Source organism: Homo sapiens, chromosome 10 (assembly GCF_000001405.40).
Source record: "Homo sapiens chromosome 10, GRCh38.p14 Primary Assembly".
In the NCBI taxonomy this organism is placed as follows: Eukaryota; Metazoa; Chordata; class Mammalia; order Primates; family Hominidae; genus Homo; species Homo sapiens.
Window position 1 is genome coordinate 101,588,275 of NC_000010.11, and position 25,984 is coordinate 101,614,258.

The 25,984-nt window shown below is 48.4% G+C and overlaps 2 protein-coding genes and 2 non-coding genes across 11 annotated transcripts in view, besides 7 other annotated features; 2 read left to right on the plus strand and 2 right to left on the minus strand.

Annotated features, from left to right (window-relative positions):
* Positions 3 to 332: an enhancer, noted in NCBI's record as "active region_3913". NCBI's record gives its function as "activates an Ori minimal core promoter by ATAC-STARR-seq in GM12878 lymphoblastoid cells {active_cell/tissue: GM12878}" and the evidence as "EXISTENCE:reporter gene assay evidence [ECO:0000049][PMID:35858748]".
* On the plus strand, positions 47 to 21,388 carry DPCD (deleted in primary ciliary dyskinesia homolog (mouse)). 6 transcript variants are annotated; one of them, NM_001329745.2, is made up of 7 exons: positions 47 to 126; positions 6,384 to 6,464; positions 12,464 to 12,588; positions 12,929 to 13,062; positions 16,866 to 16,938; positions 20,561 to 20,663; positions 21,093 to 21,388. In NM_001329745.2, the coding sequence occupies exons 4-7, from the start codon at positions 12,999 to 13,001 to the stop codon at positions 21,195 to 21,197; spliced, it is 345 nt and encodes a 114-aa protein (NP_001316674.1). In that variant the 5' UTR covers positions 47 to 126; positions 6,384 to 6,464; positions 12,464 to 12,588; positions 12,929 to 12,998; the 3' UTR covers positions 21,198 to 21,388. The 6 variants fall into 6 exon arrangements, with proteins under 6 accessions (NP_001316674.1, NP_001316673.1, NP_001316671.1 ...); NM_001329744.2 differs by having other exon boundaries at positions 20,593 to 20,663; NM_001329742.2 differs by lacking the exon at positions 16,866 to 16,938 and having other exon boundaries at positions 12,896 to 13,062.
* Positions 8,724 to 9,292: an enhancer, noted in NCBI's record as "NANOG hESC enhancer chr10:103356755-103357323 (GRCh37/hg19 assembly coordinates)". NCBI's record gives its function as "activates a minimal SCP1, AML or CMV promoter by ChIP-STARR-seq in naive H9 embryonic stem cells {active_cell/tissue: H9 hESC(naive)}" and the evidence as "EXISTENCE:reporter gene assay evidence [ECO:0000049][PMID:30033119]".
* MIR3158-1 (microRNA 3158-1) lies at positions 13,143 to 13,223 on the plus strand. Its single transcript, NR_036114.1, has one exon. It is a non-coding gene; the product is annotated as a microRNA 3158-1 (primary transcript).
* Positions 13,143 to 13,223, minus strand: MIR3158-2 (microRNA 3158-2). The gene has a single exon (NR_036115.1). It is a non-coding gene; the product is annotated as a microRNA 3158-2 (primary transcript).
* Positions 14,612 to 14,771: a silencer, noted in NCBI's record as "silent region_2722". NCBI's record gives its function as "represses an Ori minimal core promoter by ATAC-STARR-seq in GM12878 lymphoblastoid cells {active_cell/tissue: GM12878}" and the evidence as "EXISTENCE:reporter gene assay evidence [ECO:0000049][PMID:35858748]".
* Positions 19,929 to 20,644: an enhancer, noted in NCBI's record as "H3K27ac hESC enhancer chr10:103367960-103368675 (GRCh37/hg19 assembly coordinates)". NCBI's record gives its function as "activates a minimal SCP1, AML or CMV promoter by ChIP-STARR-seq in naive H9 embryonic stem cells {active_cell/tissue: H9 hESC(naive)}" and the evidence as "EXISTENCE:reporter gene assay evidence [ECO:0000049][PMID:30033119]".
* FBXW4 (F-box and WD repeat domain containing 4) overlaps positions 22,392 to 25,984 on the minus strand; it is an 84,630-nt gene continuing 81,037 nt past the window's right edge. For all 3 annotated transcript variants that reach the window (NR_136613.2, NM_001323541.2, NM_022039.4), the window contains 3 exons: positions 24,063 to 24,203; positions 23,354 to 23,495; positions 22,392 to 23,136 (listed from right to left, as the gene is read on the minus strand). Coding sequence is in view for 2 of the 3 variants with exons in the window: in NM_001323541.2 (NP_001310470.1) it covers positions 23,017 to 23,136; positions 23,354 to 23,495; positions 24,063 to 24,203 (403 nt within the window). In the remaining variant the exon portion in view is untranslated. The remainder of the gene's footprint in view (positions 23,137 to 23,353; positions 23,496 to 24,062; positions 24,204 to 25,984) is intronic.
* Positions 23,102 to 23,602: an enhancer, noted in NCBI's record as "H3K4me1 hESC enhancer chr10:103371133-103371633 (GRCh37/hg19 assembly coordinates)". NCBI's record gives its function as "activates a minimal SCP1, AML or CMV promoter by ChIP-STARR-seq in naive H9 embryonic stem cells {active_cell/tissue: H9 hESC(naive)}" and the evidence as "EXISTENCE:reporter gene assay evidence [ECO:0000049][PMID:30033119]".
* Positions 24,760 to 25,293: an enhancer, noted in NCBI's record as "H3K4me1 hESC enhancer chr10:103372791-103373324 (GRCh37/hg19 assembly coordinates)". NCBI's record gives its function as "activates a minimal SCP1, AML or CMV promoter by ChIP-STARR-seq in naive H9 embryonic stem cells {active_cell/tissue: H9 hESC(naive)}" and the evidence as "EXISTENCE:reporter gene assay evidence [ECO:0000049][PMID:30033119]".
* Positions 25,294 to 25,827: an enhancer, noted in NCBI's record as "H3K4me1 hESC enhancer chr10:103373325-103373858 (GRCh37/hg19 assembly coordinates)". NCBI's record gives its function as "activates a minimal SCP1, AML or CMV promoter by ChIP-STARR-seq in naive H9 embryonic stem cells {active_cell/tissue: H9 hESC(naive)}" and the evidence as "EXISTENCE:reporter gene assay evidence [ECO:0000049][PMID:30033119]".

Consider the following 25,984-nt stretch of genomic DNA (forward strand, 5'->3'; position numbering starts at 1 on the left):
GAAGTGACCCTCTGGAACGGTTGCCATGGCAGCGGCTGGGCGTGCTGCTTAGCAGGGGAAAGATGGCGGTGACGGGCTGGTTGGAGAGTCTGCGGACAGCCCAGAAGACTGCGCTGCTGCAGGACGGTAACTCGAGGGTCCCCACGGGCTCCTTCGTTTTTTTCCCTCAGGGTCCGGCCCTCCGGGAAGGGCCTCAGGGCCTGGGTCGGCAGAGCTGGAAGGGTCTCGGCGGTCAGCCGGGCCAGGTCCTGCATTTGCAGATGAGGAGACTGAGGTTCACAGAGATGACATGACTGGAACACATGTCTCCGGACACCCCTTAGATTCCTCTACACCATCTCGCTCCGCTCTGATTTCTGTTGCTAATATAGTAATTTCTTTTACATTCATTATCTCATTTGCTCCTCACCACTGTCCTGAGAGGCTAATTTTCACCCCGTTTTACAGAAGAGGAAACTGAAATCCAAGAATGTTTTAGACTTTAGAGAGGAGAGAGGCCTGGGCTCTAGTTCCGACTGTGCCATTAATTCACCACGGGCGCTTCAGTCGGCTCCTTTACTTGTTTGGGCCTCACTTTCCTCATCTATAAAATGAAGTGGATGGACTACCATTGTTATCTCTGAGGTCCTTTCCAGCTGTAATATTTTTGTTAAGTGAACTTCTAAATATTTTCTGTGTCTTTAGGGGAGCTAGAGCAAGAACCAAGGGCTGTGCCTGGAAGAAGTGGGCACAGGGGCATGGATACCTAACTTTTCCCCACCCTAGGATTGGCCGATGCCGGCCCCTTTGTGCACTTGGGTCCTTTCTGGACCCACTGGGTAGCCAGGATGAATTGCGTCTGAAGTTCCTGAGGCTTTCAAGATAACAACTGGTGACTCATGTTCACAGGCAGGGGCCAATCAGGGAAGCCTGGAGTTTGTGGAAATTAAAATCATTTACTCGTTCGTGCAACATTTAGGAAGACTTTTACTATGTGCCAAGCTCTAAACTAGAACAGAAAGAAAAAGATATGTTGTCCCAGGACTCAGAGTGGTTGGGAAAAACATGTACTTAAATAATAAGAAGCGTTAAATAGAGGTTGTAGTCTTGTATAAAATGGTAGGAAAGAGTGAAGGTGTAAGTGACATCTCTTTGGAGGAAGACCCAACAGAAGTGATGATGTTTCTGGGTCCTAAAGAATTAATAAGGTCAGGCACAGTGGCTCACGCCCGTAATTCCAGCACTCTGGGAGGCCAAAGTGGGCGGATCATTTGAGCTCAGGAGTTCGAGACCAGCTTGGGCAACATGGCCAAACCTCATCTCTACAAAAAATACGGAAATTATGGCCGGATGTGGTGGTTCACGCCTGTAATCCCAGCATGTTGGGAGGCCGAGTGGGCGGATCCCTTGAGGCCAGGAGTTCGAGACCAGCCTAGCCAACATGATGAAACCACCCCATCGCTACTAAAAATACAAAAAAATTAGCCAGGTGTGGTGGTGCGCACCCGTAATTCCAGCTACTCTGGAGGCTGAGGCAGGAGAATCGCTTGAACCCGGGAGATGGAGGTTGCAGTGAACTGAGATCACACCACTGCATTCCAGCCTGGGTGACAGAGTGAGTGAGACTGTGTCTCAGACAAAAAAATAAATAAGCCGTGCATCATGGCACATGCCTGTAGTCCCAGCTACTTGTGGTGGCTGAGGCCAGAGGATCGCTTGAGCCAGCGAGGTAGACGCAGCAGTGAGCCGAGATCATGCCAGTGCACTCCAGCTTGGGCGACAGAGCGAGACCCTGTCTCAAAAAAACTGGAAAAAAAAAAAAAAAAAAGAATTAATAGGCGTTTGCTGAGTGAAGAAGAGGGGATAGCTATTCAAAGAACAACTCACATATAAGGACCCTATGTGAAGGTGTGAAGGTACGTGCCTGATTACTAGAGGAATAACAAAATGTTTAGTAATGTTAAAGCAGTCACTCAGTCAGAACAAACCACCTATAACTATGTCAGGTACTATTCTAGGTGCCAGGATGGAAGCGAGAATAAAAAGGTCCCTTTTCTCAAGGAGCAATGAGGGGAAGTTGTGGAAAATGAAGAGAGATGACAGATAAGTTGGGACATATTGTGATAGATCTCTTATGCCTTGCTAAAGATTTAGGACATTTTCTCATAGGACAGTGGTTTTTGTTTTTATTGTGGTAATAAATACATAACAGAATTTAGCATTTTAATCATTTTTAAGTGTACAGTTCTGTGGCATTAAGTACATTCACATTGTTGTGCAACTATCACCACCATCTTCAGAACTTTTTAATCTTTCTCAACGGAAATTCTTTTTTTTTTTTTTTTTTTAGAGACAGGGTCTTGCTCTGTCACCCAGGCTGTGGGGTACGATCATAGCTCACTGCAGCCTTGAACTCCTAGGCTCATGTAGTCCTCCCACCTCAGCCTCTTGAATAGCTGGGACTACAGGCATGTGCCACTACACTCAGCTCAAGTGAAATTCTGTACCCACCAAATGCCAACTCCTCATTCCCTCCTCCTCCCATCCCCTGGCAACCACCATTCTACTTTCTGTCTATGAATTTGACTGCTCTAGGAACCTCGTCTAAGTGGAATCATACAATATTTGTCTTTCTGTAACTGGTGTATTTCACTTAGTGTAACGCTTCAAGGTTCATCCATGTTGCCACAGTTGGATACTTCCAGCTGTGCCATTAATTCACCACAGGATCTCTAGTTGGCCCCTTTACTTGTTTGGATCCTTTCCAGCTGTAATATCGTTCATAAAGTAAACCTCTAAATGTTCCCTGTGTTTTTAGGGGAGATAGAGCAAGGACCAAGGGCTGTGCCTGGAAGAGGTGGGCACAGAGGTATGGATATTGTAGCATGTGTCAAAATTTTGCTCCTTTTTAAGGCTGAGTGATATCCATTGTATGTCTACACTGCATTCTGTTTATTTATTCATCTGTTGATGGACACCTGGGTTGCTTCCACCTTTTGGGTATTGTGGATAATGCTGCTCTGAACATGAGTATACAAATATCCACTTGAGTCCCTGCTTTCACTGTTTTTGGTCACAGAAGTTTTTAAACAAATATTTTATCAGCCAGGATTTTGTTAAGTTCTTTTGTTAGTAGCATCACAAAATGATATTGTTAAGATTCCACCCTATCCCCAGACTGAAAAACAACTCAGTATTGCATATGTGGTTAAGCCTTGTCAAACCTGCAGATTTACCCCTGGGTGTGTAGGAGGGGTGTGGGGAGTAGGGGGGAGGTTACTCCCTTCCACCAAGAATCATGGCTATTGATATCTTGGGCTGGATAATGAGACTCCATTTTACTTTTGTTTTTTTAAGAAATAATTACATTCATTGTGGAAATATGAAAAATAAAGAAGTCAAATATAATATTACCACCCAGATAATCATAATTTACTTTTTTTTTTGAGACAAGTTTCACTCTTGTTGCCCAAACTGGAGTGCAATGGCGCAATCTCGGCGCACTGCAACCTTTGCCTGCTGGGTTCAAGCGATTCTCCTATCTCAGTCTCCTGAGTAGCTGGGATTATAGGCGCCCGCCACCAAGCCCGGCTAATTTTTTTTTTAATTTTTAGTAGAGACAGGGTTTCACCATGTTAACCAGGCTGGTCTCAAACTCCAGACCTTAGGTGATCCGCCTGCATCGGCTTCCCAAAGGGCTGAGATTACAGGCGTGAGCCGCCTCGCCCAGCCCATAATTTATATTTTTATACATAAACTTCTATATTATTTCATGCATACACTCACAGTTATTTTTCTTTTACAAAAATATACTAATATACTTAATAATTTATATATACATTTATTTCTAGAATAAATATACTATTAAAACAAAGTATAGATAAGTATCGAATAATCATTGGGTAAGGGAAGATGCTCTGAGTGCAACTTCTAAGGCAGTAACCACAAAGAAAGAAAATATATAGTTGGCTTTATAAAAACTAAACACCTGTGTTGGGTACCTGTAATCCCAGCTACTGGGGAAACTGAGGCAGGAAGCTCACTTGAGGCCAGAAGTTTGAGGCTGTAGTGTGCTATAATCATGCCTGTGAATAGCCACTGCACTCCAGCCTAGGGAACATAGCCAGACACTCTTAAAAAACAAAAACACTTGTTTGGGAAAACCCACTTTAAACAAAGTTAAGGGCCAGGCGTGGTGGCTCACACCTGTATTCTCAACACTTTGAGAGGCCAAGGCAGGAGGATCACTTGAGCTCAGGAGTTTGAGATCAGTCTGGGTAACATAGTAAGACCCCATCTCTACAAAGAAATTTAAAAATTAGCTGGGCATGGTGGTGTGCAACCATGGTCCCAGCTACTCGGGAGTCTGAGGTGGAGGATCACTTGAGCCCAGGAGGCAGAGGTTGCAGTGAGCCGAGATCACACCACTGCACTCCAGCCTTGGCAACAGAGCAAGACACTCTAAAAAAAAGCCTCAGTTGGCCGGGCGTGGTGGCTCATGCCTGTAATCCCAGCCCTTTGGGAGGCTGAGATGGGCAGATCACGAGCTCAGGAGATTGAAACCATCCTAGCCAAAATGGTGAAGCCCTGTGTCTACTAAAAATACAAAAATTAGCTGGGTGTGGTAGCATTCACCTGTAGTCCCAGCTACTCAGGAGGCTGAGGCAGGAGAATTGCTTAAACCCGGGAGGCAGAGGTTGCAGTGAGCCGAGATCACACCACTGCACTCCAGCCTGGCGACAGAGCGAGACTCTGTCAAAAAAAAAAACCCTCACTTTTCCTCATCTATGAAATACAGGTAATGAAAACACATAGGATTATTGTGAGAATTAAATTTGATAAGACATGTGAAATGCCTGGATTTAGTAAGCGCTGCATCCTGCCTGGACTCAAGGCTGGATGCCAAGGGGAGAAGATGGTCAGGCAAGACCCCCTCAGCTCCTCCCAGGCAGTACCTTGGATCCCGCTCCTGACAGGAGAGCCCTTTCTAATGCCTGTGAGCCATCCAAATGATTAAGGGTGGTATTACCTAGGGCTCTGCTAGAGGCCCTGCAAATTTAGGGGTGAGTTTATGCAGAATACAGATTAGGAATGGCTCAAGGGAACTGTATCCCAGAGAAGTGAATTGGACAGGAAAAAGGCACCTTGGGGCTCTTATTCATCAAGCATACATAGGGTACTTGTCTACTGGATGTTAGTGCTCTGTTACTAGTTTTACTGAGGAGTCTGCCTGTATCTACTTCCCTACCTATAAAAAGAAAGGGGAAATTACATAGCCACTCTTAAGCAAATGCTCCAGGGGTAGAGGAATTGGGCTAGGAGACTCCCTTAGTTTCTTCTTCTTCTTTTTTTTTAGACAGAGTCTCACTCTGTTGCCCAGGCTGGAGTGCAGTGGCACAATCTCAGCTCACTGAAACCTCCGCCTCCCGGGTTCAAGCAATTCTCCTGCCTCAGACTCCTGAGTAGCTGGGACTACAGGCACCTACCACCATGCCCAGCTAACTTTTTTGTATTTTTAGTAGAGATGGGGTTTCACCATGTTGGCCAGGCTGGTCTTGAACTCCTGGCCTCCCTTAGTTTCTTCTGTTCTTTCAACGGATAGTGCATCAGTGTTTATTCATCCTTTCAATCAGTATTTAGTTGAGCTCCTAGTATATGCCAGGAGCCACACTTGGTCTTTAGGAAACCATAGCATGGGGATAAAACCCCTCCTATCTAGTAGAAGAGATAGGCAGTAATCAAAGAGTCACATAAAAAGATGTAAAATCATAACCAAATTAAGTGCCATGAAGAAAATACATGGGGACTTAACATTGTGTTACTGTGTGATAGGAATGGCCTGGAGATATGCAGAAGAAGGCAGGGCACTGGCATGGCTAGAGGGAGTGCTTGGTCAGGAAACCCAATTCAATGTCCTGAACACATAGAGAGATAAATACGATGTCATTCATGGGAAGACAAATGCTTTTAAAAGTATCATGGTATGTAGTAAATGCTCCACTATGGATACGAGTAAAACATTAGGGAGGCACACATGAGGATGTGATTAATCCTACCAAAGTGGCTGGAGGTGATAGTGGAGGAAGACTTCCCAGTGGAAGTGACATTTGAGCTGGATTTTGAAGGGCAAAGAAGAGTTCCACAGATAGGAAAAAATATGGAGCTGTTGCTGGTAGAGGAAACAGCAGGGCAAAGATGTTCAAGGAAAGCTTCAGAAAGGGAGAGAGTCTCAGGACACGTTTTAAAGTAATGGTGGGTGGTGGTTGGCAAGGAGTTTGGGGAGGTCCTGGCTGGGTTCCTCAGTACTCCCAAGGCTGGCACTGTTTCCCAGGTAGGCCCCTTGATCTGCAAGGGACAGGGCAAGGGGAGACTTTGAGGTAAGGCATTCTCTGTTTTGTGCATAGGGAGAAGGAAGGTTCACTATTTATTCCCAGACGGCAAGGAAATGGCTGAAGAATATGACGAGAAGACGAGTGAACTACTTGGTAAGTGACAGAGGCTCCCAGTGGGCCTTTAGTAATACTTGGGGCTGACATAAGCACAATGAACACTCCTAGCCTTAGGCTTGAGGTAGGAGCCCAGATCAAATGTAGAGGCTGGGAGAGACGGAAGCCCTCGAGACAACAACGTTCCTGAGCATAATCTGGGCACCAAAAGTGGAATGCGAGTCCTTTTGACCAGTAAAATTCATCCCCACCCCTCACCCCAGACAAATGAGAGAGGGAGTAATTCTAAGATGTAGAGAAACAGTTGGGAAAAAACTTTACAGAGGAGGTGGTATTGGAAGTGAGCCTTGTAGGTTTAGGAGGGATAAGGGCAGACTTTCACAATTTGTTTTTCCTTGTTTTTTTGTTTGTTTGTTTTGTTTTCTAAAGCCACACCAGGAGCAAGCGAGTATCAGAGGCAGAGCTTCTGAGCTTGCCTCAAAGGCAACACTATAAAATATGGTCCTTATTTTGAAGAACATCTCAGTCAAAGAGGGTCAAAACAGTGATTTTGCAGCGTGGTCACTTTCATTCCTGCAGCGCCTTTCCTCTAAGAACAGGCTCATGGGTAGGGGCTCCAGCTCAGATTTCTGGGAATTATTTGATTTGTCCACTCTGTTCCCAGGTGTGCACATCAGCATTAACCAGCTTCCCAGAGCTAGGTGGCTGGCTCTTTGACCCAGGGCCCAAGGCTGTCAGCAGTGGGAGTTGGTCTCTTTATTAAGTTCCATCTGAAATGCTAAGACCAATGATGGAATCACAGGCTGGTTTATTTTCTTGTCATTATTCTTGGCTTTAATTTCTTCCTGGGCCTGATCGACAGGTAGTATTGGTGAGGGAATTTCTTTTTCCTTTTTTCTGACAGCTCATAAATGTCTAGAACCGACAACATGGATTACACGGGCTTGCATTCCCTCAGTCTCCAGTCTTAAAATGTTTGTCCTGCGCATGTTCAGTCGCACAGTGAAGTGTTGATCCCTCCTTATTATGAGCTGCTTGGGCTCCAGTCCCAGTTGGTTTAGTCTGGTGCTATTAAAAATCTTGATGTGTTTAGCATATGACACTGATTCGGTGGAAACCAATACAGTAGTAATATCCTCACAATGCATTGTAATTTATAGTGCTCCCAGGGGATGACAGCCTTGGAATGCCTAACAGGGGAGAACTTATGAAAGCAGAGGTCACGTGGACTAGCCACCACCATAACCAGGCCAGAGAATAGCCGCAGCTCCTCACTCCCAGCCCCCCGTGCCACTTCTCTACTCCTCCACACAGAGCAAATAAAACAGCTATAGCTGCTGCGGCTGTAAAAACAAACAAATAAAACCCAGGCCTCTTTGTTGTGCTTGGATATGAAACTGAAATTAAAAACAAGTCCAGGTTTCTTCATTTGTAGCACCATGTGCCCTGATATCCCTTATTAACCTGTCACTTCTCCTAGTGGCAGGTGGGGAATAGACCATGGCTTCCAAACTCCTCTTTCTTAAAAGCAGAAATGGAGAAGACTGTTCACAGGAGAACACTGTTTGGCTAAAGTTGACCTAATAATGATATTAATAGCGTGACTCTTACTGGGCACCATGCTAAGTGCTCTACGTGAATTACCTCATTTACTCGTCCTCGTTAAAGCCCTATGAGGTAGATACTCTTGTCTCCATTTTACATTTGGAAAAAATGGAAGCTCAAAGAGGTTAAGCACCTTGTTGAGAATTATGTAGCTAGTTTCTAAGCCAGGATTTAAGCCTAGTTCTGTCCAATTAAGAGCCCATGCTTTAGTCCTCAACAACATAGTGCTGGGAGTTGAGAACACTTAAATCCAACTTTCTTTTCTTCTTACTGTTTTTCTTTCCCCAGAAAGGCCTGAGTGTGGACTGATGGGCAGACAGGAGGACCTCACTTGAGCCACTGGGCCCAGCTCTAGAACAGCAGATCTTTTTCTTACTCTTCTTCCTATCCACCACTGCTGCCCTGGCAAAATACTCTCCATTATTAATTTTTAAGTATAAATAATCCCAGGGGTTGAGCTGGCTTTTGCTTGTGCATTCTATGAAGTAAAGTAGGGACATGGTTTTTGTGGCAATAAATAGGAATAGTTTCCATTTTTCTAGCTAAGTATACAAATTTGATAATTAGCCAAACCAGTTTTCTGTTAGAAAAATTCAAAGTAATTTACAGAGGAAGAATTGCCAATAGGTGTGCGTCAGTCTGGGACAGAGTTCCTCCCGTCGGTGTTAATAAGCATGTTAGTGTCCTGTTTTTTTCCTACCCTCTCAGTGCTATTCATTCCCACCCCCCACAATGATTGCTGCATGTATTCATAGAGGAAAAAACTGAAGGCCCCACAACAATGATCGGAACATCAAACCAGCCTGAGAAGAACACAGCATGTCCAAGGGGGCTGAGGCTGAAGGGCAGGCCATCCCCCAGCGATTACATTCGGATTACCGACTTAATCTGCTTTGGTATTTGACCGCCAGCCTAACCACCCCAGGCTGCATTTGGAGGATATTGAGCACTTTCATCCCCAAGCACTTCACTGGCTTTATAAATGACCCACTCGATTCCCTTCGGCCTCCTCTGGGATGGGACATGGCAGCTGTTTAATTGCCACATAGCAATGTTGCAGTGTTTTAAGGCAGAAAAGAAGAATCCTGCATCCAGTTGAAGCTGCAGGGAACATTTAGGGAAGGGGAATGTAATTATCCACATTGGAAGTGGGCCAGGGTTTGGAGCTTTGGGGAAAGAGGCCTTTAGGACTTCTACTTTCCAGCCCACCTGAAAGATGGGGCCTCCTTTCAGCAGTCTGGGACATCAGCCTGCTTCCTGCTGATTTAGGAAAAAGCCCCCAGGCGCCACCTCCTTTATATATTCCCCATCAGACTCTTCACCGGGGTGGAAAGTCTCTTTTCCAAGGTCTGGCTGGGGCTCAGCTGGGAAGATATGACAGCGTCCCGGGAAGCTGCCTCACACCAGTTTGGGTTTAACATATAATCAAATCAGAGTGACAGCAGATGGAAACAGTCTTCTGTTGCCGCAGGAGCCGTCCTTGAGTTCAGAAACAAAGACGGGGGCAAGAAAGACAAGACAAAGTGTGCATTTGTACATGTGTGTTCACACCCATGCACTTGTGCATAGGAAAAATAAGAAGGACTTCCCCAAAATCTTTTATTGGGTCTTATCTCTAGAGGGAATGGGAAAGGAGACTTTCTTCTACATTCTAACAAAGAATTTAATTCTCAAGGTGTTTAAACAAAAAATAAAGGTGAAGCAGCCAGAGGTGTCAAGTTCCCTGAGTGGTTTTTAAGGTCAGAAGTAAGGAAATCAGCAGCTGACTTTCTTCCTTCTTTGAGTACTTCTTGGGAAGTTTTCTGTGTAAAACTCAAAATTTTTTGGAGTAAAAGTGCACAGAAAACCCTGGGGTGGTTGTCGTCCCTCCAGGCCACCTTGGTGCATTATTATGCATTAGGACACCCATTTTAGCAAGGCCCATGACTTACAGGGGCACCTCACTTATCCAGCCCTAGGTCGTGAGGTAGTCCTCATAATTTACTTTTTCAGATAATCAAAGCTTACCCTTTAAAGGCCAAATATAAAAAATAAATTGAGCTACTTAAAAAAAAACAGAAACCTTTCAAAATATTACATGTGCTTATTGAACACTTTCAGAATAAAGTTTTATTAATAATTCAAATTCTGGATTTGGAGTTAGGAGACCTGGAGTTTAGCCGTGGCATTTGTAAGATTGTCTCCTTGAGCCTCAGTAATTCTTCATAGTCTGTTTCCTAGAGAGTAGTGGCAAGGGTTGAAAGAGAGCAGTCAGGGAAAAAATGCTATTTCTCATTTTAAAAATACAGACATTGGGTAGATGCTTTCTTTTTTTTTTTTTTTTTTTTTTTTTTTTTTGAGACGGAGTTTCACTCTTGTTGCCCAGGCTGGAGTGCAATGGCACAATCTCAGCTCACCACAGCCTCCACCTCCCAGGTTCAAGCGATTCTCCTGCCTCAGCCTCCCCAGTAGCTGGGACTACAGGCGTGTGCCACCACACCCAGCTAATGTTTTATTTTTAGTAGAGACGGGGTTTCTCCATGTTGGCCAGGCTGGTCTCGAACTCCCTCAGGTGATCCGCCCGCCTTGGCCTCCCAAAGTGCTGGGATTACAGGCATGAGCCACCACGCCCGGCCTGGAGTAGATGCTTTCTAAAGGAACTTCCACCTTTAAAATCTGTGATGGTTGTGTTCTATTATAAAGTGGCACCATTGGAGTCTAAGGGTGCTTGTTTGCCCTTACACTAAATGGTCCCAAGTGTTTATGTGGTTCTGACACTGCCGTCCAGTGTGAGTTGTCCCCGATACCATTGTCAATATGCCTGAGAAAAAAAGTAATTTCCTGCCTTATTCTACACACAGCATTTTATACCTAGTCTGAGCGAGAATCTGAGAGTGATCTTTCCTATAGTATAGAGTAGGGTACATGGATCTTTTCACAATAAGCTGCTGCTCGGAGGCATTTGTCACTTCTGAGTTTGCAACTGTGTCAGAGGCCCCCAGAAGGCTGCTTCCAGTGAAGTGAGGTATTAACACTGAATAGATTTGGATATACTCCTGGTCACAGTCCGTTCACTTAAGAGAGAAGTATTTGTGGGGGAAAAAAGTTGCCTATAAAGCATATTTCCAAGTTTTACTCTTCCTTATTAATTTTCATTATAAACTTGGAAATGTGTTTCTAGGGAGAATTTTTGGCCCTAAGAGGTAATAAAATCACACTGCAGAATGCAGCAGACCTTATAAAAGCACATATTTAAGGGAAAATTCTAATTTTACAGCACACTTTTGTGTTCAGCTTGTGTGCCTTACTTATACCGGTGAGGGCGTTTGGATTTGACACAGCTGCTCAAAAGGTCTAAAGTAAAACCGCCGGCTGCCTAGTGCTGAGAACCTGACTGTAGCTCTCAACTCCTACCTGGAAAAAGACACAAACAGAAACAACTGTAACTGAGTACTGTGCACTTTTTGAGTTGTTTAGCTCCTTAAACAGCTACAGAGGCTGCTGGTCTTTAGCACCAGCTGGGCTCCTCAGGCTGGAGGATACCATAGTGGGCAGCCCCGGATTCCAAATGCAGCAGGAAGGGAAAGGAACTGGGGGATAGGAGGTCATGGCTCAGAAAAGATCCCCCTGCAGTGATGGACCGCATGGTTCCTGAAAATGAAAATCTCAGCAGGGGTTTTCAGGTAGTCCATTCAACTAGTTTCTTGATTTATAATTTTCATAATATATGTGCCTTAAAATCTTATGCAAGCATCTGGGTTATGAAACAAGGTAAAATAGAGATGGTTATTTGCATTCTAGAAGGATTCCCTTTTACAAAAAATTCACATTAGATCTTTTATAAACCGTGCATTTAAAATATGGCATGTGCCTACGATTTTGTTTAAATGCAGCTTTGGAGCGTTTTTTTGTTTTTGCTTTTTTCTTTTTTTTTAAGCAAGGTATACCTGAAAAGAGTGAATTTCTATATTTGGACTTTCTGAATCATGATACAGACCTGCCGAACAGCTTTCACCCTCTTAATTATTTTTTCCTCTGCATGTTTTTGAGGGAAAAAGTGTGCTTCAACTCCTTTTTGGGATCCAAATTTTCTCCATTACCAGAAACAACCCTTTTCCTAATCTTCACATCTTCTCCTTGCTTGAAGCCACACCTGAGGGTTTCTTGACTCCACTTGGCTCTTCTCAGAGCTTCATTCCAGTTCCTTTTGCCTGAGCACCCATGAGATGCGCTTTGAGGGTTGTCTAATGTTGAAATGCTCTACTGAAATTTCAGAAGTTGTGAGGTCCCTCCTTAGATTAACAAAGCTGAGAGTAAAGGCCCAACACTCCCACTTTCATCTTGTGCTAGTTACCTAGTGTGGTGCCGGTGATTCAGCAGAAAAGAGCAGAGACCCTCTCTTCACTCTCATCCTGATGCTTGCTTCTCATCCCGATGCTTGCTTCTCTCCCCAGTGAGAAAGTGGCGTGTGAAAAGTGCCCTGGGAGCCATGGGCCAGTGGCAGCTTGAAGTAGGAGACCCAGCGCCCCTAGGAGCAGGGAACCTGGGGCCTGAACTCATCAAGGAAAGCAATGCCAATGTACGTCCATCTGTCCAGGTGTCTTGCACGGACTGAGGTGGGGGTGGGCTGTGGGCTGCTGGCTCTTGAGGGCAGGGACCATGTCTTGTTCACCTCCTCGCCTCCAGTGTGCCACCTGGACACAGCACTCTATAAATGTTTGTTTGAATGAATACAGACATTTTGGCTTGATCGTCCCAGGGCGGGGGCTCAGGGCCTGGAGTGCTGTAGCAATAGCAGCGTCAGAGGGGAGCAGTGGAGAAGAGCTGAGGGTCTTGTTGTGCCCCGGGGTAGCGCTCTGATGAGGGTGGAGCCTTCCCTTCCCCAGGAACAGTCCTCGAGTTGGATTTGCCTTCTGCAGCCTATCTTCATGCGCAAGGACACCAAGATGAGTTTCCAGTGGCGGATTCGAAACCTCCCCTATCCTAAGGATGTCTATAGTGTCTCTGTGGACCAGAAGGAGCGCTGCATCATTGTCAGAACAACCAACAAGAAGTGAGTAGCGTGGAAGGCACCCTGTGTGCTTGTGTATGAGCGGGGTGTAGGGTGGGGTTTGATCTGGCGTTAGGATCATTATTCAGGCCGGTCCTGCAGAGAGGAAGCCCTTCTGCTTACAGGTATTGGAAGGGCTTCCTCTCTGCAGGACCGGCCTGAATAATGTAATCAGCTCCATCGGGGAAGAGAAACTTGAATGAGTATCTAGTATAGTACCTGGCATAGATAGGGGCTCAGTAAATATTTGTTGAATGAATGAGATGATGAGGGAAATCACAGGACCATTAACTTGTGGTCTCAGGTGGTTCTGCTGAAAGGTTATTATGACCTTGGTCTCCTGACTGGAGCCAGGCCTTGGTAAGGGTGGCCTGGTGACATCACTGTCAGAGCTGGCAGGGAGCCATAGCTTGGAAGGCACCCCTGTCTGAAGTGGGAGTGACAGTCCTTTAAAGCAGTACTTGACAGCAGTTTAAAGCAGACTGGGCAGCAGTAAACCTAATCCCTCCCCAGACTGACAGTGGGGCAGATGCTTGGGCCGCTTGGAAGTCTCTTGCATAATGCTTCAAAAGGGGTACTCAACTTCCCTTTGTGGTCCCCTAGAGGGGAGGCAAACTGCAGGGGTTGAAAGGACAGAAGGTGGCCACAGTGCATTTCCATTTTGGAAATGCATTGATCTCATTTAGGTTTCTGGAGCCCTGACTGATCACAGGAGAACAATGCCCTGTGTGAGGCCTGAAGGGAATGACCCTGAAATGAATCAATCTTGACCTGGGCTAGAGAGAATACAGTCTAGGGACAACTCCCACAAAATAGATTTGGGCATTGAGATGGGAGGTTTTATAAGTTACCTGTCTGCAAGCTGTGAAGCCATTCAACATGCCTCATGGGGATGCCCCCACCCATCTCTTGCTTTACATGCAGTAATGGGGACACAGCTCCTTGTGCATCTCCTCAGGTGATGTGGTGCCAGTCTCCCCTTCCATCTCCCTCAGGCTCACGAGGCCCACAGGGAAGCAGGGTAGCTCCCAGACTCCCCCATCGCAGCCCTGGGTGCTGCCATCCTCTTGTGACCCCCATATCCCATTGCTTTGGCAGGGTTAAGAGGACAGGGGAAAGGGTGGAGATGGATGAATTAATTTCAGGATTATTGCTGTACATGCAGCCAGCAGCCCCTGCAGTGGGCCTTGTCTATAAATATAAAGTCATAATAATAAGGGTTTGTGTTTATAAAGCACTTTGAAGCCCTCAGATAAGAGGCAGTTTATTCCCGTTATTGTTCTCATCATTAACAGGAGTCACTGCCTAAAGTGGAATTTAGCAATTTCAGACAACAGAGAAATTGCCTGTAGGAGAACAAACTCCATGCTTCAGCAAGCATTCCTTGGTGGAAGAGGCCTTGGGTCCAAACTGGGAACAAAAGTGCTTCTGATAGCACTTGAATCTGCAGCCCAGCACTTTGTGAAGCTGGCTGCTGCCTCTTTTTTGTCCCCCAGAGGTCACTGTCGAATACAGATATCAGACAGAAATGTGATTACCAGGGAGTGAGGAAAGAGGCTAGCTAGCTCACCAAAAAATTCATCTGCCAGCATATCCTCTGGGTCCCATCTCCTGCGCACATCCAGCCATAGGTGGCGCTGTTGGCCAGGAGCTCCATGGCTGGAGGCCCAGGCTAGCTCTCAAGGCAAGCAGGGGTTGTTGGACATTTTTGAAATGATGGGTGAGGCCAGGTGGGATGGGAGTGATGCCCCTGGAGGGGCAGGGCTGAGGGTTGGATTCCCATAGAGGACAGAGGAGTGTTTCAGGGCCCACTTTGGAACCCACACTGAGCCTCTGGTCCAGTGTCCCAGCCTGGCTCATCCCTGCCCTCCTCAGGTCTCTCTGTTGGGAGGTAACCTAGAGGCCGCTGAACCCTTAGCCAGATCGTTCCCGAACCTAGTGGCATTTTTACCTTCTACCTGGAAGAATGTATTTTATACCTTTACTCCCATTAATTATATAGAACTCAATGGGTATTCCTTTATTATTATTATTAATTTGGAAGGGAGAGATTTATTTCTCATCAGGGGTTACAGCCTGCATAGACATTCTTTTTTATTTTTATTTTTATTTATTTATTTTTTTTTTAAGAGATGGAGTCTTGGCTGGGCGCGGTGGCTCACGCCTGTAATCCCAGCACTCTGGGAAGCCAAGGCAGGTGGATCATCTGAGGTCAGGAGTTTGAGACCAGCCTGGCCAACATGGCGAAACCCTGTCTCTCTAAAAATACAAAAATTAGCCAGGCGTGGTGGTGCATGCCTGTAGTCCCAGCTACTCGGGAGGCTGAGGAAGGAGAATCGCTTGAACCCAGGAGGTAGAGGTTGCAGTGAGCCAAGATCATGCCATTGCACTCCAGCCTGGGTGACAGAGTGAGACTCCATCTCAAAAAAAAAAAAAGAGATGGAGTCTTGCCCTATTGCCCAGGCTAGAGTCCACTTCTTGCAATCATAGCTCACTGTAGCTTTGAACTCCTGGGCTCAAGGGATCCTCCCGCCTCATCCTCCTGAGAAGCTGGGACTATAGGCGCATACCACCCAATCTGGCCAAGTTTAAACAATTTTTTATAGCGTTGAGGGTCTCTCCATTTTGCCCAAGCTGCTCTCAAAATCCTGGGCTCAAGTGATCCTCCTGCCTTGGCCTCCTGAAGTGCTGAGATTACAAGCATGAGCCACCACACCCAGACCAGGGTGGCCATTCTGGCAGGTGGGGAAGTGTGGCCTCTGGCCAGAAGCCAAAAACTCAATGGCTACTCCCTTCCACAGTGTTTAGCTTTTTAAGGATATAGTACATTTAAAATCTGTTTTCTGATCATCATTCTGTCAGGAGGTGGACAGGATCCATACTTTTATTCTTGTGTTATAGATGATTATATAAATGTATATATAAAGTCAGCATGATGAACCAGCTTGCTGAAAGTTAGTGACTGTCTCTCCTGATACTCAGACATCTGCACTTCAGAAATGCACATCATGGCATTTCTCTCTGATTTGACCTCTTCCTTCACCTGGAGGTTCCATAACCTGCCCCAGTTCTAATATTCTGGAATGTGGTTACTAACCAAAGCCAGAGTTTCTTTACCCATACTTGCCTTGTCTCTGAAGAGCTGGGTTGGTGACTTTACTTGAAGGAATTGATTGCAGTGTATCATGTCCTTGGCCTCACATATTAGTGAGGGATGAATCAGGGAAGGAAAAAAGTGCTTTTCCAGGATCCCAGTGTTGGACCATCTATTCCTGATAACGTTTGTGCAGAAAGAGGGCTCCTAGCCTCAGCCTGGAAGTTGGCCGCTGTAGGTGGAATGAGCCAGGGTGCAGGAGTGAGAAGTTGTTGGGTTAAATCTGGCCTCTGCCACTGTTAGCTGTAGAATTTAGGCAAGGTTTCCTCATCTATCAGAGAAGACTCACAGCTACTTCACAGATTTTGGGGAATTTGATGAAATCATATATGTACAGGCCAGCACAACGGCTGGCCTGAAGCAGGTCCTCAACAGTTCTTTGGAAATTGGAATCTGAGGAGAGCTTGGCTGATTTGACATCGGTGATAGTAACACTGTGGGAGGTGTTAATAGGCTTCACTAGAAAAAAGGATTCTGTGGTTAAATAAATTTAAGAAACTCTGGATTAAACAGGCTTCTCTTTGGTGGGGCCGAGAGCCTTTAGTATGTGTGTGTGATTGTGACTGTCTAGCAGGGGGCGACTGTGGGTGGGGGTGCCAAGTTTGCCCAGAGCCTTGATGTTTAAGAAGATTTGCTTGCTGCTTTTCTAAAGGCGGACTGGTTGGAGGCTTCTCTGGACCCCTCTGGCCATGCGGTGTGCAGGTGTGCATGGCACCCCCTCTGAGGTATGTGAGGCATGACCCAAGTGATTGTCCACAGCAGCCCTGCTCCTGCCTTCAGCCTCCAGAGTCTCTCTCCCTCTGAGGGCCTGGCCTCTGGTGCCCTTTTGGGTTGAAAGGCTGGATTGGGGAGGGGATACAGTAGAGAGTGGTGGGAGGCAATAGATCATTACTGAAATAGTCAAAATGGAGGAGTCGTCTGTCAAACAGGGAGAAGACAGGTACAGAGTTGGCCTGTTCTGGGCCCTTTGACATTGACTTCAAGTTCATCTAGTGCAGCTCTTTTATTCGAAGAAGGAATGTGGAAACTGAGGCCCAGAAATTAAGTGACCTGTCCGGGGTCACAAGGCAGGGCCAGGAGTTCTGCTACAAGCCTTTACTTCCACATACATCTTTTGAAGACTTTTGACATTCAGAAAGGAAGGCCACTGATGTGTTGGAGAGAGTACCCAGGGGACCCGCAGAGTGTTCGGACCCCAGGGGAGACAACCTGTTCATTGTTGAACATCCCCACCTCCCACCTCAATATCTGCCCCATCATTGGACAAATGCAAATAATCTAGACTATGGCGGGCTATTACTTTGTGGTGAGAATGTGGAGACATGGAGGTGTCAGGAGATTTGGGGAATTCTCACTTTAATACGGGCTTCTCTGTTTACCAGCTTTGTGAGTTGGGCAAGATATCTAACTTTTCTGGGCCTCAGTTTCCTTTTGTTTAAAAGTGGATAATAGAAGTAACCAACCTGAGAGAGTTGTTTTGACAATTAAATGTGTTTAGAACCTGGCACAGAATAAGCTCTTAAAATGTCATCTTTCATTGTATGGCTGAAATAGAACATTGAAGGGAGGTGGGAATGGGGGAGAGCGGGGCATCTGCAGGAAGCCAGGGAACTATCCTGCTGTAAGGGTTCATCTTTTAGCAGAAACAAAACAAGGTCTGATCAGCAGGGATATGGCCTTGTTCCTTTTTTTGAGATTGAGTCTGGCTCTGTTGCCCAGGCTGGAGTGCAGTGGCACGATCTTGGCTCACTGCAACCTCCGCCCCCTGGGTTCAAGTGACTCTCCTGCCTCAGCCTCCCAAGTAGCTAGGACTACAGGTGCTGCTACCACGCCTGGCTAAGTTTTGTGCTTTTAGTAGAGACAGGGTTTCACCATGTTGGCCAGGCTGGTCTTGAACTCCTGGCCTCAAGTGATCTGCCTACCTCGGCCTCCCAAAATGCTGGGATTACAGAAGTGAGCCACTGCATCTGGAGGCCTTGTTTCTTCTTCATCCTTTTCTTTTAATTTTTTGTAGAGACAGGGTCTCGCTATGTTGCCCAGGCTGGTCTTGAACTCCTGGCCTCAAGTGATCCTCCCACCTCAGCCTCCCAAAGTGCTGGGATTACAGGCATGAGTCACCAGGCCCGCCCTCTTCTTCATCCTTAAATCCCCAGCTCACAGCTCAAGGTCTGGGACACAGTTGATGCCCAATAAATGTTTGCTGCCTACCTACAGCTGCCTGAGGCTGAACGTTATGACCCTTCCAGAAGCACAGTGGGTCTCTCTCTTGTCCAGGTGCTGGTGAGAAAGTCAAGTACAGTACCTATCATGGAAAAACCCTATGTCTGGGGGAATGGGTGTGAGAAGGGGGTGGGCTTCCCCAGGAGGAGAAAAGGCAGATGCTCCCTACTCCCTTGAGCCTATCGGGAGCTTCTAAGAAGTTGGTTAACCTCGACCAATAAACTAAATCTATTACAAGAGACTCAAAACCAAGCTGAGCCTCCACCTGCTCTGCCTCCATTCCTCTTGCCTGGTGGTAGGAGTAGTTCAAGGAAAGCAGGTGCAAGCTATGCACCTAAAGTTCCCTCTGATCCTGTCCTTGCTGTTGTGGCCAAGCCCTGGGATTCATTTTCCGGTCCCACTGCCCCAGCCTGGGGGAATGGTTCTGCTGGGCTGCTTCCCTCCTGGTTCTGCTTTTTGTGTATATTTGCAGGGAAGATGTTAACACTTCCTAACAAGTCTTTGTGTTCATCTAATCTCTGCTGTTTAACCTTTGACTCTCCCCTATTATCAGTGTCTGCCACCTTTGCTGGCCAGACCAAAGGCCCCAGGAAGAGCCCTCAGCCTGAGCTGGCTAGGAAGAGGATGAGGCAGGCATTCCATCCCCGGTTTGCAGGCAGATGGATCGCCTTTCCCTGGGGCAGAGCTTTGGAAAATAAAGCAACTTGCAATGCCATTAGGATCCCCCAGCCCCCACTCCTTTTGAACTGTCAGCCTTTAAGTAAACATTCTTTTCCTGCCATGGGTCCCAGTACCTTGGTGGGGAGTGGGGAACCTGGGAGGAGAGGGGCCCCGAGAGCCTCTGTTGAACGGAGGGATTTGGGCAGGGAGGACGGGGGCAGAAGTGCTGCATTGATGTCAACTCTCTGAGTCCCCAGGGCATAGGGGCTTTTGAAGTGGACTCAGGGTAGCTGTCACCACAAGGACCAGGCCCCTCTGAAGTACTAAAAGCCCCATCCTCCCCAGGCCTCTCACTTGAGTTTGTTTGTACCTGCCTGAGGTGTTTCCCTTCACAGCCCATACAACCTCTGCAGCAGAAAGTGATGCCTTGCCCAAGTGACAGGTCTAGCAGCCCCTGGCCAGAGCCTAAGCCACATTTCCACCAAGGAAAATGCCAAATTGGTGTACTGTTAGAGATGAGGAGGCCATTCATTGTGCTTTGGTGTAGTAAGGATCAGACCAAGGACAAGGAATCTTACTCTAATCTTGACTCCCATCCCTACCGACAACTGGCCGTGAAACAAGGCAAGATATTTCATCTCTCTGAGCCCGAGTTCCCTTTTAGGTAAGGGGGGTCAAATTTCCTGCAAAGTCTAGTTATACACATTACAGACTGGGTGTTGCCATCTGTTCTATTTTTTTTTTTAATTAAAAGGCATCATTAATCGCTGAACCGGCACCTGCAGATGATAAGGACCATGTGTGATATGTAAAAATGGAGGAGTAGGGACTTGGGGCCAGCCAAGTAGTCCAGAGGTCCAGCTTCCGTGATGAGTAACATGGTTCGTCCTCTCAAAGAGATTTCTCCTAGTAGATATACTTTTCCCTCTGGCCTACAAGGCCAGGCTAACAAGGCCTTGAAAGGCCCCAAAAGAGGAAGAGGTAGTTGAGGCCTTCAGTGGACCTCCCATGTAAATGGTAACAGTAGGGCCCCAGCTTTGGGAGACAGATCTGAATGTCCTTACTCTGTCCTTTGTTAGAACACGTCCCATTTTTCTGGTGTCTCCATGAGGCTTTGGGGGTAGAGGAGTCCCAAGCTGCTTGAGCTATTTGTGTGTTCCAGGCTTCTTCTGCCTGTCTTTGGGAGACCCAGCTCTGAGATGTGAGTCACTACAACCCCTGGTCTAATCACAGAATTATAACTAGGTTCTGCTCTTCTGCCACTGGACTGGACATAAGGCTTGCATTCTATGCTTTCCAGGGCCACTGAGCTCTGAAATACTGGTGTTCTAACTGGTTTCCCTTCTCCCTCTCTGCGTGTGTGGAAGGTGTGGAAGAACTAGGTAGAAGCTAGGCAGCAGAGGGCCTGACGCCTGGCTGTTGGGTCACCTTGCCGAGTGCCCCAATGGCCTCTCGGTGTCCCCACAGGTACTACAAGAAGTTCTCCATTCCTGATCTAGATAGACACCAGCTACCTCTGGATGACGCCTTGCTGAGCTTTGCCCACGCCAACTGCACCCTGATCATCTCTGTAAGATTCACCCAGACTTCTTGGACACTGCATCAGGGAGAGTCTTCCTCTTTCCCTGCCCACTTCCCATCCCATAAGAGTCCTCAGTTCTAGCCCCAAGCCCTAGGGTATGCTTGTGGGAGAATAGGCATCTCTAATTCAGCATGGGGGAGAGCAGGGAGGGGGCTCAGGAAGGAGCCTGACCATATAATTCACAGCTAGAAGAGGGTAGAGGGTGAAAGGGAAGCGGTGGAAATTGCTGAACTTGGGTTCTTCTGGTCCAAGGTCTGCTCCTACTCAGGCACATGACCTTGAGCAAATCATTCAATCCTACAGGCCTCAATTTTCTCGTGCAAATAAGGGGATCAGAAGGAGAAGGGGCCCCAAGTGTGTGTGGAAGGAGATGGGACAGTGACTGAATTATTTTCTTATTCCTGGCTGCATCCACAGTACCAGAAGCCAAAGGAGGTTGTGGTGGCCGAGTCTGAGCTACAGAAGGAACTAAAGAAGGTGAAGACAGCCCACAGCAACGATGGGGACTGCAAGACCCAGTAGTTGGCCCCTGAGCCTTATACCTCCACCACAGGGGGTGCCGTGAGACTTCAAGGCTTGGCCCTTCTTGACCACGGCAGCCTCCTGTCTTCTAGGAGCTATCAAGGGTCTCTAAGAACTGGGCATGGGGCACTCCTAGCCAGTGAGTCATGGTCATATTTCCTGAGTAAAGTCATTCTGAGTTACTTACTGCACAGGGACTGCCCTCTTGTTCCCCTCTGTATGCTGCCTGGCCCCAGACCCCACTGGCCTCCCTCGGGAGGGTGTGATGACATTCCTTTCTCTATCCCGGAGACCTACAACATAAAGCTTTCCACAAAAAGGGAGAATAGGGTGGGAGCACATGGCCCTAGCAGGGCAGGGCTGGCCTTTCCCTGCAACCTGTTTACACAAACTCAGAGGAAGACCAGGCTGGAGGGACCCTGTGCTACCGTAGCTTGCAGAAGTGGCTCAGAGGAAACTCCTGAAGATGTGTGGGCAAGGGAAAAGTTTTAAAAATGCAGAAACCGGCCAGGCGCAGTGGCTCACGTCTTAATCCCAGCACTTTGGGAGGACGAGACGGGCGGCTCACCTGAGGTCAATAGTTCAAGACCAGCCTGGCCAACATGGTGAAACCCTGTCTCTACTAAAAACACAAAAATTAGCCGGCCATGGTGGCGCATGCCTGTAATTCCAGCTACTCGGGAGGCTGAGGCAGGAGAATCGCTTCAACCTGGGAGGCGGAGGTTGCAGTGAGCCAAGATCATGCCACTGCACTCTAGCTTGGGCAACAGAGCAAGACTCCGTCTCAAAACAAAACAAAACAAAAAAACAAAAACAAAAAACAAAACAGAAACCTTGGAAGTAGAACACAGGATGTTAAGGCATTGTGGGTAAAAAGCCAGAATCAGGGTCATAATTTTGCCAAGGGTGTGTGTTGGGGTAGGGGTCACCACAGGCAACAACTGAGCTTCCAGCAGCCTGTACCCTTTCCACAGTCCCCTCTCCAAACCCACAGGTGACCCTCCATACCCCAAAGGGTAAGGGATAGGTCATCAATGGGAACTCTTCCTGAAAAAAAGAAACCTTTGTTCTTTGGGACACAGAGCCATGAGGCTGGTCTTGTCGTTTCAGCAGCACATACAACCCTGAGCTTGGGTCTGCTGTTCCCTTCTCCTGGAGCCTGCTAGGACTACTCAGCCAGTGAGGAACCAGATCTGTGAACAATCAAGCTTTATTTTTACAAAAATGAAAATTGTAGCATGTCTCAACAGCCAGCCTGAGGTAGGGCTGGCTCAGAACTCACTCAGAACTGCTGGGTTCCCTTTGCTCTTTCTTGGTTTCAAAGCAAAACCAGGCCACAGTGCCCCAGGAATGAACCCCCAGCCCCGAGAGGTTGGTCAAGGGTGAGGTCTGGCTGGTGCCAGGAGGCTATTGGCAGCCTCACCTTTCCTTCCAGGAAGGGGCAGAAAGGAACCATCTGGGAAGGTGGGAGCACCTCACCTCACTCTGTAGGCTGTCATGGCTCTAATAAGGGGTATAGGATGGGCCTCTCCAGGCCAGATCCTTGCTCTGGCCAAACAGGGACGCAAGGCCCGGGTTCAGCCGCACTCTAAAGCAGCAGGTCCTGCCTCTCCAACAGGTTCCTGGGAGGGACTGCATCTCTGGTAAGCTCCAAAGTCCCAGGAGTCAGAAGCCTCTAGTGCAAGGTGCCTGAGCACTGGGGTCACAGGCCCAGGAGCACAGTGGGGCAGTGAGGAGGAGCTATCACTGCACCCTCCAGGCAAGAGAAGTCCCTGAGTAGCTGGTTTCCCTGGCCCAGAGGCAGGGGTGGCCCTGACGGTCATGGGTTTTGAAAATCCAGGACGTGGAGGTTGTAAGACAGGGCAGCATAGAGATGCTTGGTGGTGAGACGCAGGCAGTACACAGGGCTGCTGAGGGGAGTCGACGTCAGCGGGAAGGCCTGGAAGGGAGGGCACAGGAAGTGGTAAGAGCTTTCCAAGTGGGACATGGGTGTGCCCTAACCCAGGATCCCCAGGCCCAGGGGAAGAGGGACGTGTGCCATTGTAGGCTTCTTCCAACCCTTTCTAGGCACGTCCTTGGCTACCTCACCCTCTCCCAAATGCAGCCCATAATCATGAGTCCTGGCATGCTGGAGAAGAGGTGGGCAGGACACTTACGTGCAGGCAGGCCCTTTGACGCCGGTCCCACAGCCGTACAACACCGTAGTAGGAGGAACCTGTGGCCAGCAGGTGGTTGCCATCTGTCTGCAGGCAGTACAGGGTGCTGTCGTGGGGCTCCTCCCACTCCATGACACATTTCCTGTCCAGGAAGAGGAGAAGCAGAGGGAGGTTTAGGGTACCCTCCACCTCTACCCCAGCTTTCTTGGGCCTAGAGTGGCTGAGGGGAGCGTTAAGGAGCCATTCCGGGATGGAAGAGAAAGAAGCCTAAATCATCAGATTCATCAAAAACCGAACTTCATGGGAGAAAGCATCTTCTGTAGAGGGCTCTCGCCATGGCCCAGACGACACAGCAGATTATGCCTGCACTTCTGTTTTCACATGGCCAGCTACTTGTCACTGGACTCAAGAAAGGTTGAAGTAACACAGGCCTCAAGAAAGGCTGGGAGAGAATATTGAGTGACAGTACCCTGACGGCTCCAGAGGCTCTGGGAAACGCCTGCCTTTGCCAAGGCCTGTTGGCTATAGCCAAGCCACTGGGACCAGGGCTGCCCAAATGTAGGAAGTCTAGTGACCTTGCAGGCCTCTTCCTTCCCAGCCCTGACATGGAGTCTCTGTGCCCTCTCCCATGGGCCAACCCAGGACTGGAGGAAGGACCAGGATTGGTGCAGGGCCCCCACCACCTGTCCTCCCTGCCCAGCACACTCACCGGACGCTGGTGCGGAGGTCCCAGTAGCGAACATAGGTGTCATAGCCACAGGACAGCAGTGTGAAAGGGGACTCATACATGACATCCAGCACCCCAGCCCCTGGGGGAAAGTCACTGCCCAAGTGTGTCATCAGCTGCCCACTGGGAAGGGAAGGACGGAGTGAGAGGCTGCTCCACGTGGGTCATACACATTCGTTCCACCTTCAGAAGGCATCAGACCTTGGGGAAATGTTCTCTTTCCTCAGCTAGAATGAGACTCAAGGAAGGGGGCTCAGGGAGGAGATGCCCAATTCCTACCCACCTCACCCCTGCCATGAGGCCTCTGCAACCAGTCCCAGGCCCCACCCCTCCCCCAGCATCCCAGCCCTCAGCAGCCCCTCCATCACACCTGCGTGCCGGCTGCCACCCACCCAGCCACTCCTCCTCAGGACAATGAATGGGGGGGCTTGCTGAAGGGGTCGGCCCCCCTCACATTCACATGCACATGCACACACACACACACACTTGGTTACTTTATACATCTTGATCCTGCAGGTCATGCAGTTCTGAGCTGCCTGAGTCCAATGCCTTAATTCCTGCCTGTAATCTGGGGCTCAAACCTCATTGGGGATAAAGACCACACAAAGGGAGAAGGGGAGTCCCAGGAGATGTTAAAACAAGTAAACACCTTTGTGTCTGGGGAGAAAAATCGCTGAGAAAGCAGCTTAGCGAGCTGTCCCTGGTGTTCCTGGTCTAGCTGGCCCCCAGCCCGGGGCTAGCACGCCTCCGTGATCACAGCCCCCAGCCTGTGGGGCTCCAGCCTGCTCCCCCCACCCTCACCCCACCCGGGGGCCGAGAGCAGATTACTGAGAACAATTTCTTTGTGACTGTGTAATTCCCTCCGTGACCGCGGCAGTGGGCAGACCCTTTGCCCTGATGCCAGACCCCTAGCAACTATGTAGGGGGGCCTCCTGTCCCTAGCAACTACCCCTCAACATCAAGTGCACCCGCTAATCCCTGCAGCCAGGGGATGGGTGCAAGTATGGAGTTTCCACAGAATGACTGGGGGAAATGAAGGAAAAGGGGCGCCCTCCAGGCCTGATGCCTTAGCTTCCTTTACCCGTGAGACGCTGGGCTTTCCCCATGCCATGACAGGAGAAACAAGGCCGTGGACACTTCACAGGGATGTCCAGGTAAGAGGCCCTGGCATGGAGTGAGGGGACTTCATGGCTCACCAGCCCTTTTGGCCCAAGTAGCATGTCAGCAAAGGGCTTGAGGCAGACAAGGCAGCCAGCCACATGTCTGAATGCAGATGTCAGCTCTCGTCCTTCCACCTCACTGAGACCCTGACCCACAACCTCCCTTCTCCCCAACAGAGCTGCCATCTTCCCGAAGGCCGAAGGAATCAAAGGAGGAGACTGGGGGTTCCTTTCTGCCCCTTCCACCTTTCCCCTTTGAGCCCTGGGCAGTGGGCCCTGGCCAGGAGCACTGCTGCTGCCAGGGGGGAATTAATCCCCAAGGCAGCACCCCTGCTACCAGCCTCCTCAGGGAAGTTCTGGTCTTCCTCTCAGTAGCCCAGAGCTGGGCCTGCGGGGAGAAGATGGCAAGCCTCTGTCTGTTGGGGGGCTCCTGAGAGGGATCAGGCAGAAGGCCTTCTCCCCAGATCAGCATCCCTTAGAGACTGCTAACCTTGGCTCCCAGAGAAGCCCTGCCTTCCCAGATGGGCCACCAGCCAAGATTCAGCCACCCTGGGCAGGCCAGAGCCCTGTAGGGGAGTCATTCTCTCTCTTTCACAGGTATACTGGGTGCATGCTGGGTAGGGGCTGTTTGGCTCCACAGTTCTCCTCCCTCTTCCAGATTTGGGGGCCCTGCCCCCTCCATTAGTGAGGCCTTAAGGAATGATTGAGGAGCTCTCCCCTTTAATCTATAGAAGTAATTTCATG